Source organism: Homo sapiens, chromosome 7, assembly GCF_000001405.40.
Source record: "Homo sapiens chromosome 7, GRCh38.p14 Primary Assembly".
Taxonomy (NCBI): domain Eukaryota; kingdom Metazoa; phylum Chordata; class Mammalia; order Primates; family Hominidae; genus Homo; species Homo sapiens.
Genome location: NC_000007.14, coordinates 66,122,556 through 66,135,044, shown reverse-complemented (window position 1 = coordinate 66,135,044; position 12,489 = coordinate 66,122,556). Strand labels below are relative to the sequence as shown.

At 43.0% G+C, this 12,489-nt stretch overlaps 1 protein-coding gene across 5 annotated transcripts in view; it reads right to left on the bottom strand.

The window, feature by feature from the left end:
- Window positions 1–12,489, bottom strand: part of CRCP (CGRP receptor component) — a 39,751-nt gene that overhangs the window by 19,524 nt on the left and 7,738 nt on the right. For 2 of the 5 annotated variants that reach the window (NM_001142414.1, NM_001040647.2), the window contains exons 2-3: window positions 7,305–7,341; window positions 671–765 (exon numbers count right to left, since the gene is read on the bottom strand). The exons of 1 other annotated variant lie outside the window; for it this stretch is intronic. In NM_001142414.1, coding sequence (NP_001135886.1) covers window positions 671–765; window positions 7,305–7,341 — 132 coding nt within the window. Of the gene's footprint in view, window positions 1–670; window positions 766–4,202; window positions 4,302–4,796; window positions 4,919–7,304; window positions 7,342–12,489 lie in introns of all 5 variants that reach the window. 2 more of the 5 variants (NR_024548.2, NM_014478.5) reach the window with 2 other exon arrangements.

Genomic DNA, 12,489 nt, shown 5'->3' with positions numbered 1-12,489 from the left:
ACATTAATGGTTAATAAATAAGGTTGCATCATTTATGGCTTCTGGAGTCCAAAAAGGACATCTACACATATTGTTTCCATGAAGACACCACCCTTCACCCTTTCCCCAGCCTTGTGAGTTTAGCAGATGATCCTTATTCAGTGGTAAGGATAATGAAACTCAGAGAGGTCAAATACCTTTTCCAAGGTCATGGTGCTATAAGGGGCAGAAACTGGACTACAGCCCAGGTTCCCCGATTCCAAGCTTGTTATGCTGTGGTCAGATGCTAGCAGTTGGGAGTTAGCAGATATAAATAAACTGTATTTTGGCCCATTTGATTGAGATCTCTACCTATGACCTAAATTTGCCTTCTTTTCCATGAAGCATTTCCATTTCCCCTCACCCGTCTTTTTTGAGAATGTAAATTAATCTCTGCTAATTTTGCAGAATAAGCAGGCAGAGTAATACAGTATCACTAGGATAAATGAACTTTCTTCATTTATAAAAAAAAAAAAAAAAAGATTTGTTCCTTACTCTAGTCCCTATGTCTAACTTTCAGTTGTTTCATCTCCAATACTATAATCCTTCTTTAAATCCAAACCCAGCCGAATATCAATACACGGTTGCTACGAATGTAGCAACTATCATTTCACCATGTGTCACGCTCTTCCTACTTAAGAGATTTACTTACTTGGTCAACTTGTGGCTTTTCAATGCTGTGAGAAATTCTCTGACAATTTCAGGACTCTGGTGCCTGCATGGTGTTTTTGATATGTATTTTAACGTCTGGCAAAAAAAAAAAAAAAGAAAAAAGCCAAGCATAAGACAAAGAACCCTGAATGAGAAAAAACAAAGGCAATGACTGTAATTAAAATTCTAAAATTTTGTTTGTAAAAATCCTGTAGAGGCTGGGCACGGTGGCTCACACCTGTAATCCCAGCACTTTGGGAGGCCGAGGTGGCCAAATCACCTGAGGTCAGGAGTTCGAGACCAGCCTGGCCACCATGGTGAAACCCCATCTCTACCAAAAATACAAAAAATTAGCTGGGTGTGGAGGTGCACGCCTGTAATCCCAGCTACTAGGGAGGCTGAGGCAGGAGAAACACTTGAACCTGGGAGGCAGAGGTTGCAGTGAGCCGAGATCACACCATGGCACTCCAGCCTGGGTGACAGAGTGAGACTCTGTCTCAAAAAAAAAAAAAAAAAAGAAAACAAAAAAGAAAAAAAATCCTGTATAAAACAAAAAGGCATTCAGGAGAACCAATCTTCGTGTAATTGGAATTTCTGAAAGAGAAAACCAGTAGCTAGAAGAGGAAGAATAACTAATGAAATTTTAGGAGAAAACTTTTCTGATCTCAAAAAAAAAAAACCCTCAATCTGACAATTGTGTTATATTTTGAACAATTTTTTTAAAGAGGGGGAACCCAAAGAATAAAATAAATTGCCATGAGTCTACATGGATATATACGACTGAATAGATAAACGGGTAAGAAGAGACAACTTTTTCTTTTTTTTTTTTTTTTTGAGACGGAGTCTCACTGTCACCCAGGCTGGAGTGCAGCGGCACGATCTCGGCTCACTGCAGGCTGGAGTGCAGCGGCACGATCTCGGCTCACTGCAAGCTCCGCCTCCTGGGTTCACACCATTCTCCTGCTTCAGCCTCCCAAGTAGCTGGGACTACAGGCGCCTGCCACCACGCCCGGCTAATTTCTTTTTGTATTTTTAGTAGAGACGAGGTTTCACCGTGTTAGCCAGGATGGTCTCGATCTCCTGACCTCGTGATCCACCCGCCTCGGCCTCCGAAAGTGCTGGGATTATAGGCATGAGACACCGCACCCGGCCAAGAATGAGAAAAATTTTTAAATCACTCTTAGGCAATTGTACCATAGTCATAACTACTGCAGGAAAGACCCACCAATAAATGCTAAAATTGATGGTTAAAAGCTTAAGCAAAGGGTAGGCTGTTTTCCTAGCCGCAAAGCATCTCCCACAAAATATTTTTTAATTACTGTGGTGGTTTTAACATACAACCACAAATTCTTCGATATCCCTCCCTTCAAGAGGTGAAGCTTAATCCCCCCGCCCCGCTTCCCCTTGAATATGGGCTAAACTTGGTAAGTCCTTTCATCTTATTTATTTATTTATTTATTTATTTGAGACAGAGTCTTGCTCTGTCGCCCAGGCTGGAGTGCAGTGGCGCAATCTCGGCTCACTGCAAGCTCCACCTCCCAGGTTCACGCCATTCTCCTGCCTCAGCCTCTCTGAGTAGCTGGGACTACAGGCGCCCGCCACTACGCCCGGCTAATTTTTTGTATTTTTTCTTTTTAGTAGAGATGGGGTTTCACCGTGGTCTCGATCTCCTGACCTTGTGATCCGCCTGCCTCGGCCTCCCAAAGTGCTGGGATTACAAGTGTGAGCCACCACGCCCAGCCAAATCCTTTCTAACATAATGTGGAAATGAAGAAACAGTAGATTTACAGTGGAGAAACCAGGCAGATACCATCTTAACGAAATGACCAAAGTTAACAACATCACCCATAAGAAACATCAATATCATGTACCCCCAGAAATCAGGACACGAGAAGGGGAGATTACCTCTGTGGTACTCTTCCTCAAAAGCCATAGGTTTTGTGTAATCATAATAAAACATCAGGCAATCACAAATCAACAGACATTCTACAAAATACTTGACGAGACTTTGGAAGTGTCAAGGTCATGGAAGACAAAGGAAGAGTAAGGATATAGATTGAATGACATTATGGGGACATGTTAACTAAATACAAAATGGTATCCTGAACTGAATCCTGGAACCCAGAAGACAGCAATGGGAAAACAGGGCATTCAAATAAAATTTAAGTTTAGCTTAATAGTATGTACCAATGTTAATTTCTTGGTTTTGATCACTGTACCATGGTTATGTAAGATATTAACATCAGAGAAAACTATGGGAAGGGTACATGAGAACTCCCAGCACTGTCTCTACAACTTTTATGTAAGAGAAAAATGGCTGGGCACGGTGGCTCACGCCTGTAATCCCAGCACTTTGGGAGCCAGAGGTGGGCGGATCACATGAGGTCGGGAGTTTGATACCCGCCTGACCAACATGGAGAAACCCTGTCTCTACTAAAAATACAAAATTAGCCGGGCAAGGTGGTGCATGCCTGTAATCCCAGCTACTCGGGAGGCTGAGGCAGGAGAATCGCTTGAACCCGGGAGCCAGAGGTGAGCCGAGGTTGCGCCATGGCACTCCAGCCTAGGCAACAGGAGCGAGAATCCGTCTCAAAAAAAAAAAAAGAAAAATGATTTCAAAATAAAAAGATTTTTCTTTTTTTTCTTTGATTTGCAATGATGTGATGCTTTCTCATGATTACACAGATTTTGTGGCTTTTGAGGAAGAATATAGATAAAATTTCGGAGGAATTATAATTACATATTTTGGAAGGAATCTCAAACTTGAAAAATAATAGCCTTAAGCGTGTAAGTTCCCAGCACTTTGGGACGCTGCAGTGGGAAGATCCCTTAAGCCCAGGAGTTGGAGACCAGCCTGGACAACAACAACAAAAAATAGCCAGGCGTGGCAGTGGATGCCCATAGTCCCAGCTACTTGGGAAGCTAAGCTGGGAGCATCACCTGAGCCTAGGAGGTTGAGGCTGCAGTGAGCTGTGATCCCCTTTCAAGGAGAAATGAGGGCAATCTTTTACACTATTCCTTCTAACTTTGTAGCTGGCTAAACTCTAAACTTGACCAAACTCCTCTCACTTCTATAAACAGAATAAAAATTAGGTTAGAGTAGGCTGGGCGCGGTGGCTCATGCCTGTAATCCCAGCACTTTGGGAAGTCTAGGCGGACGGATCACGAGGTCAGGAGATCGAGACCATCCTGGCTAACATGGTGAAACCCTGTCTCTACTAAAAATACAAAAAATCAGCTGGCCGTGGTGGAGGGCGCCTGCAGTCCCAGCTACTCGGGAGGCTGAGGCAGAAGAATGGCATGAACCTGGGAGGTGGAGCTTGCAGTGAGCGAAGATCACACCACTGCATTCCAGCCTGGGCGACAGAGCGAGACTCTGTGTCAAAAAACAAACAAACAAACAAAAATCAGGTTAGAATAAAACATTCAGATCATATAAAAAGCAATCTTAATTTCAGCTGCCAGTCATTGGGAGAATAAACCCCCCTCCCTCAATGGTACTTTAGGTAGGCCTGGCAGAAGCCCAGCCTTACTTCATAGGTGATAGTGTTCAAGTTCTGTTGCCCAGAGCTGTGTTTATTCTTTCCACTTTCTTTACGCTGCTCTTTCAGATCAGTTAGTAACTGAAATACCTAGGAGGAGATACAAAAAAGACGTTTATGAATAAATTTGAGAAATATATCTATCCAAGGTCAGTGGTTTTGAAGGATAAACAGGAAAGTATAGTACTTCCTTTCACCCGCCCATCACCCAGCTTCCAACTCTTGGATTTGAGCAAATATGAGTCCCAGAGGCATATTACATTTTTAAAAAATGTTCTTTTATATAAGCCAAATAATTCAAATTCATTAATTTACTTAAAATATTTCAAATATTTCCTATCAATATGTACATCACTAATCTGATCTCAAAAATATACTATTTGAAAGCAGATTTTCTTAAAGCAAATATTTTGTTAAAAAAGAATTCTGGGTCCAGGCATGATGGCTCACGCCTGTAATCCCAGCACTTAGGGAGGGTGAGGTGGGCGGTTCATGAGGTCAGGAGATCAAGACCATCCTGGCTAACACGGTGAAACCCCATCTCTACTAAAAATACAAAAAATTAGCTGGACATGGTGGCGGCACCTGTAGTCCCAGCTACTCGGGAGGCTGAGGCAGGAGAATCACTTGAATCCGGGAGGCAGAGGTTGCAGTGAGCCTGGATGGTGCCACTGTACTCCAGCCTGGGTGACAGAGCGAGACTCCATCTGAAAAAAAAAAAAAAAAAAAAAAAAAAGAATCCTGCTTCTCTAGTATAAAAATCTAATATAATAATTTCTTTCTGGAAAAGAAAAATTTTGAGGCAAGTGATAAGACAGAGTTTACCCCCCAAAAAAGAAAGGAAAAAATGCTATGGATCTTTAGAAGCAAACTTTCCCACAAGGATAAAACATACATGTATTAGTGCTGGGGGCAGGGGGGAATCTTAGTCTCATTCCTGTTTTAGAGATTCTACCACAGAAGTGAAGAAAATGCAGGCTCACACACCATCACCAGATACAATACGACCCCTCTCATCTGCTGGTCCTTTCAGAAATAGTGGCATGAGATCAATGAATGCAATGTTTCCCCAATGGATAAAACACCCAAACACCTAGCAAAGTCCAAACTGGACAAGGAGGCTCCTAAAAGCCAAAGGCTTGGCCAAAAACCATTCAACCATTTCCTTCCTGTTCTAAGCTGCAACCACTTAAGACTGAGCCTTTAGAGAGGAAAGAATATGGCCAACTCTGTTTATTCTACTACCTTCTTTTTTGTGGGGCGGGGGAGGGGAGCACCACAAGGGGGTAGGTTTCTTTCTTTCTTTTTGCTGTCTTACACTCTGGGAGCTTTTTTTTGGGGACACGGTCTCAAAAGCTGTCTCCCAGACTGGAGTACAGTGGTCATCACTGTAACCTCAAACTCCTGGGCTCAAGCGAACCTCCCCTCTGCCTTCCAAGTAGCTAGGACCATAGTAGGTGTTTGCTACCATGTCCAGCTAATTTATTTATTTTTATTTTTTTTGAGACGGAGTCTCGCTGTCGCCCAGGCTGGAGTGCAGTGGCACAATCTTGGCTCACTGCAGGCTCCACCCCCCGGGTTCACGCCATTCTCCTGCCTGAGCCTCCCGAGCAGCTGGGATTACAGGCGCCCGCCACCTTGCCCGGCTAATTTTTTGTATTTTTAGTAGAGACGGGGTTTCACCGTGTTAGCCAGGATGTTCTTGATCTCCTGACCTCGTGATCCGCCCGCCTCGGCCTCCCAAAGTACTGGGATTACAGGCGTGAGACACCGCGCCCGGCCGCTAATTTATTTTTTTAAGAGCTGGGGGTCTTGCTAGGTTTCCCAGGCTGAGCTCTAACTCATAGCCTCAAGCAATCTTCTCTCCTTGGCCTTCCCAAGTGCTGAGATTACAGGCGTGAGACACTGCACTTAACCTACTACCTTCTAGACCTCCTGAGTCTTTCTGAGTTTAGACTCTAGCACATGGAAAATTCACAGTCAAGGTATAAATGGTTCTTTCTACACCTGGAGTGAGCCTATCAGATGGTTTTGCTAGTGCCAAATAGGAGGCAAAAATGCTGGAATATCTCCTCTCTTACCAACCTTTTTCCTTCTTTTCCTTTCTCCAGCAATCCCACCCTAAGCCCAAAAAATTCTACATTTCTTAATTTCTACTATTCAGAAAGGTGAGTCAACTAAACTCACTCTCTTTTTTTATTTTTTAAGTAGGGATGGGGTTTCACCATGTTGGCCAGGATGGTCTCAATCTCCTGACCTCGTGATCCGCTGGCCTTGGCCTTCCAAAGTGCTGGGATTATGGGCATGAGCCACTGTGCTCGGCTTAAACTCACTTTCAAAATAAGGATGTTAATACCCATAAGACTATTTGCAATGTATAAAAGCATTATAAATATATAAATATATCAAAGGTGATAATTAGGAAAAATCATAAAAATTTTAATGGGAAATTCTGCAGACAGAAACAGCCTTAAAATAGATGCTTCTATCCTATGACTACATCCCAAATGATGATTTGGAATCGTTGAGATTTAGAGAAGGTTGCCCCCTCTAAAATAGAGTCTTCCCAGCTTTCCTGAAGTACTATGTATAACGTGTCAAGCTTACACTATTCCAAGGTCCACCAGATGTTGCCATGTCTTATTTTAAAGTGGAAAATCCAAATAAATTCAGTCATTTCTTTTTTCTTTTTCTTTCTTTCTTTCTTTTTTTTTTTTTTGAGACAGAGCCTTGGTCTATTGCCCAGGCTGGAGTGCAGTGGCACATCTTAGTTCACTGCAACCTCCGCCTCCTGGGTTCAAGTGACCCTCCTGCCTCAGCTGGGATCCGAAGTAGCTGGGACTACAGGCATGTGCCACCACACCCAGCTAATTTTTGTATTTTTTAGTAGAGACTGGGTTTCACCATGTTGGCCAGGCTAGTTTTGAACTCCTGACCTCAAGTGATCCAGCCTCAGCCTCCCAAAGTGCTGGGATTACAGGCGTGAACCACTGCACCCAGCCTGAATTCAGTCATTTCTAACCAAAATCAATTTAACAATCTCAGGAGCGAAGGGCAAACTATCAGAGAGGAAAATGTAACAATCCAATTTACCTCGTAGTTACTGAGAAGCGCAGAATTGGCATCCTTCCTGAAAAAGAAAAGTAAGCTATCATCAGTCTGGGCTCACACCCCTTTCTGGGTATCAAATTCTGTAAAAGAATTCCTGTCAAGATACAGTAGTCCACTTTTTGAATTTAGGGACTACAACCTAAAATTGAAACTGAGAAATGTCCTAAGTCCAACATGGTTTAGCTAGCTGTGGGCAATTTCAGAGTAGACTTGGGAACAAAGTGCTGTCCCATCCCACAGCCATGTCCTCTCCCCATTACTATCTGCCTCCCATCAGCTATTGACATCTTGGGCTGCCACGTCCTCCTGCTGAATCAACAGAAATGGCCCACTTAACACCAATGTCACCACTGGGAATTCCAGCCATGGGCAAGTATCCTGCCAAATATCTGCCATGCTCCCAGGGTGTTCACCACCTACGTCAACTCAACAGGTACAGTCAGGGTGGCAAGCAGTGGCCAAAAGCCTGGTTCCCTGTGTAACAGTTAATCCAGGCAATATGCCATCTTTCCTGAGTGAAGAAACACAACGATGTGACATATATTAAATCACAATCGATCCACTCTACAATAGCATATCAGAAAGCATTGTTTTCAGCAGTCTGGAGGCAGTGGAGTATGACAAAGAACATAGTTTTGAAATCAGATTTGGGTTCATGTTCTAGCTCTGCCACTTATGTGCTGTGAGAATTTTAGTTAAGTTAATTACTCCTTAAGTTTTCCTTCTAAAATAAAAATGGGATGAAACTAGTATCTAAAAGTATGGCCTGGATTCTAAATCCAGCTCCTGAATTCTTTGGCCATGTGAATCTAGGCAAGTTACTTAATCTCATTATGCTTACATTTCCTATCTATGAAACGGCAACTATAGTATCAACCTTGTAAGACTGTTCACAGGGTTCACTGGAAACATGTAAAGTACTTGGAACATAGTAAGTGCTCAATAAGCACCAACATTATCACTACTACTATCTGGGCAACTACCACTACCACCAGCAACTCCTACCTCATCAAACTGTTATGATAAAATGAGACAACAAATTTTAAAAGTTTAGAATAGTTCTTGGTACTTGTATTAACATCTCCATAATGGAAGGCTATTATTTGTAAAAGATATTATCCCAGTTAATTCTCACTGAAAACCCTGTGATGTAGGAGCTATTCGTATGATTCCTACTCTGCAGAGATAAAGCACAAGACTCAGAAATTAAGTAACTTGCTCAAGGTCACACAGTAAGAAGTCTAAATAAAGTGGAAGGTAACTATGGAACTGTGGGAAATGAGACTGAACTGGATGAATGGAAACTGGTCATGCAGAATCCTTAAAAATCAGGTAGAGGGGTCTGCACTTGATTTGTAATGTGCAACAGAGACCTCTGTATGTTCTTAAACCAGGAGTGTGGCGAGATGATCCAAATGATGACCCAAGACTTCAAAAGCATGGGCCAGATAGGTGACTTCCGAGTCAATAAATAAAGCAAAACTAACAGTGGTTCACAAAGAGATAGACCTCGGCCTTAGGTCATCAGCACAGTGATGTCAGCACTATAATCAAATCAGCTCTGTGAAGCTTACCAAATGCTACCAGTGATTCAAGCTACGATTTCACAAAAGTGCTGCTTTGCCCAAATGACCACAAACACACTGAAGTCACAAAGAGTATCATATTTGAAAGGAATCTAACACAGGAAGGACAATGCATAATTAGTGCATGTGACAGAGTTCATTTAAAATTGAAAATGACAAATCAAACCACATGTCATCTTTGCCTGCTTAATCAGGAAATCTGCCCACTGGCTTCCTCCTATCTTTGCTTGAAATTGAGTTATAACTCCCTGTGCTCTCCAAAATATGAGGCATTAAAACATCCCTTCCTGGAATACTTGACTCGAGAAAAAATATGAATGTTTTTTCTCTTCAGGGCCAATGGATCCATCGCAGGTGCACTGTTACAACTTTATTTCCAAATAATGGCCCCTTCTCTGTCATTCAGAATATTCCACGTCGTGGGAAATTTGTCCTTGGCCATTCCAAGTTACTACCCCACTAAACAAGTCAATAGTGTAATGCAAGAATCCAAAGAACACCCTCTGCCTCTTCTAGAACGAATATAAAGGAGGAAAACCCTCTTTCACATAAGTTTTAATGAATCTGTGTTTTGGGATCAAGAGAACCAATTGATGTTTACACAGGTACTCTGTGTAACAGACTCTGGCTGACAGAAGCTGATTTATTCATTGATTTTATCAGGAAGATAAATTTTTTTAAAACCCAGCTAAATATTCACAGAATAAATGCCAATCAATGTATGCTAGGCCTTTCCTTATTTAATAAAATGTCAAGAGGTACTTTATCTACCTTTTATGAAGTCCTAAACGAGCTGTATGTATTGGGGAATTTTTTTAAAGGCAGTTTTTATCTTTGAGAAGTTACTGTAACCACCACTAAACGACAGGTTGTTGGCAACAGGATATGGTGAAACCAGACAGACATCAACTTAATCAAGTTATCCAATTTCACAGCACCAATGATGTGACGCATGAGAAAGACACATCCCTCAGAGCAATCCAGCCCCAAGATGTTTAATTCAAATCTATCCATGAGGATATAATCAGAGAATTCCAAATTGAGGAACAGTCTTCAAAACAACTGGGTTAAATTTAGACTCTTCAAATATCAATGTCATCTGTCACAGTGCCAATGTCACAAAAAGAAGCTAAGGAAACTTCCAGAGGAAAGGAAATTAAAGAAACATGACAACTAAATGCAATGTGTAGTTCTTCACTGGATCCTGAATTGGGAGGAAAAAGAACACTATTATGGCAACTGAAGAAATGTGAGTTTACATTGTATCTTAATAATAGTAGATTATCATCGCTAAGTTTCCTGAGTGTGATAAGGCGACTGTAGCTACATAGAATGCCCTTTTTCAAGAAGGGGTGAAATGATCTGCTATCTACAACTCTCTAATGGTTCAGTAAAGTAAGTGTGTGCACCTGTGTATGGAGAGAAAGCTCATGCCTGTGCAAAAGAAATAAGGGAATGCCAGGCATTGTGGCTCACACCTGTCATCCCAGCTACTCCGGGCTGAGACAGGAGGATCACTTCGTCCCGGAGTTTGAATCCAGCCTGGGCTCAAGTGTCTCTAATCAAAAACAAGAAAGGAAGAAAGAAAGGAAGGAAGGAAGGGAAGGAGGGAGGAAGGAAGGAAGGGAGGGAGGGAGGGAGGAGGGAGGGAAAAGAAAAAAGAAAAGAGAAAAAGGAAAAGGCAGCAAATATCAGAATCAAAATGTTAACAAGTGGTGACTCTAGGTAACGCGTATACAGGTATTTGTGGCATTCTTTTTATTTTTAGTTTTTTTTTGAGAAGGAGTCTCGCTCTGTCTCCCAGGCTGGAGTGCAATGGTGCGATCTCGGCTCGCTGCAAGCTCCGCCTCCCAGGTTCATGCCATTCTCCTGCCTCAGCCTCCCAAGCAGCTGGGACTACAGGCACCCGCCATCAGCCCGGCTAATTTTTTGTATTTTTGGTAGAGACGGGGTTTCACTGTGTTAGCCAGGATGGTCTCGATCTCCTGACCTCGTGATCCGCCCGCCTCGGCCTCCCAAAGTGCTGGGATTACAGGAGTGAGCCACTGGGCATGGCTTTTTTTTTTTTTTTTTTTTTTTTTTTTTTTTTTTTGAGACGGAGTCTCACTCTGTCACCCAGGCTGGAGTGCAGTGGCGCGATCTCGGCTCACTGCAAGCTCCGCCTCCCGGGTTCACGCCATTCTCCTGCCTCAGCCTCTGGAGTAGCTGGGACTACAGGCGCCAGCCACCACGCCCGGCTCATTTTTTTAGTACAGACGGGATTTCACCATGTTAGCCAGGATGGTCTCGATCTCCTGACCTTATGATCCGCCCGCCTCGGCCTCCCAAAGTGCTGGGATTACAGGCCTCAGCCACTGCGCCCGGCCCCCCCACCTTTTTTTTTTTTTGAGACAAGAGTTTCGCTCTTGTTGCCCAGGCTGGAGTGCAATGGCATGATCTCAGCTCACCATAACCTCCACTTCCCGAGTTCAAGCGATTCTCCTGCCTCAGCCTCCCAAGTAGCTGGTATTACAGGCATGAGCCACCACACCTGGCTAATTTTGTATTTTTAGTAGAGACGGGGTTTCTCCATGTTGGTCAGGCTGGTCTCAAACTCCTGACCTCAGGTGATCTGACCGCTTTGCCCTCCCAAAGTACTGGGATTACAGGCGTGAGCCACCATACCAGGCATCTAAAAGTTTTTTAGAGCTATTAGAACTTAATAGACACATCTAGCAATTATAAACGTAGAAGCTGTTGATCTCTACAAAGCAGGAACTGTCTGCTCTACAGCTAACACTTTAGTATTATGTAATATATTCACATGCAATCAGACTTCTAGAAACTGCTTACCTATACAAAACTTCATATTCTCCTGTAGGACTTAGAATAGTACTCATTTTACGCCAGGCGCAGTGGCTCACACCTGTAATCCCGGCACTTTGGGAGGCCAAGTCGGGCGCATCACGAGATCAGGAGATCAAGACCATCCTGGCTAACACGGTGAAACCCCGTCTCTACTAAAAATACAAAAAATTAGCCGGGCGTAGTGGCGGGCGCCTGTAATCCCAGCTACTCAGGAGGCTGAGGCAGGAGAATGGCGTGAACCCGGGAGGCGGAGCTTACAGTGTGCCGAGATGGGGCTACTGCACTCCAGCCTGGGCGACAGAGCGAGACTCCATCTCAAAAAAAAAAAAAAAAAGAAAGAAAGAAAGAATAGTACTCATTTTATTGACATGTGTTTAAAGCAAATACTCTAAGTGCATTTTAAAGACTGTCTAGAAAAAAGTCCAGGGACTTGTGCACACAGAGGAGAGACCATGTGAGAACATATCAAGAAGTTTGCAATCTGCAAGCTCAGGCAAGAGGCCTCAAAAGAAACCAAACCTGCTACACCTTGATCCAGTCTCCCGAACTGTCAGAAAACAAGTGTTTGCTGTCTAAGCCACCCAGTGTCTGGTGCTTTCTAAAAGCAGCCTGGCAAATTAACATAGCAATGCTTGAGTAAAAAAAAAAACAAAACAACTGTCTAAATCTATACTACAGGCAGGCAGTTACTTAATTTCCTTAAGTAATGAATTAGATGACTGAAGCTGACTTTC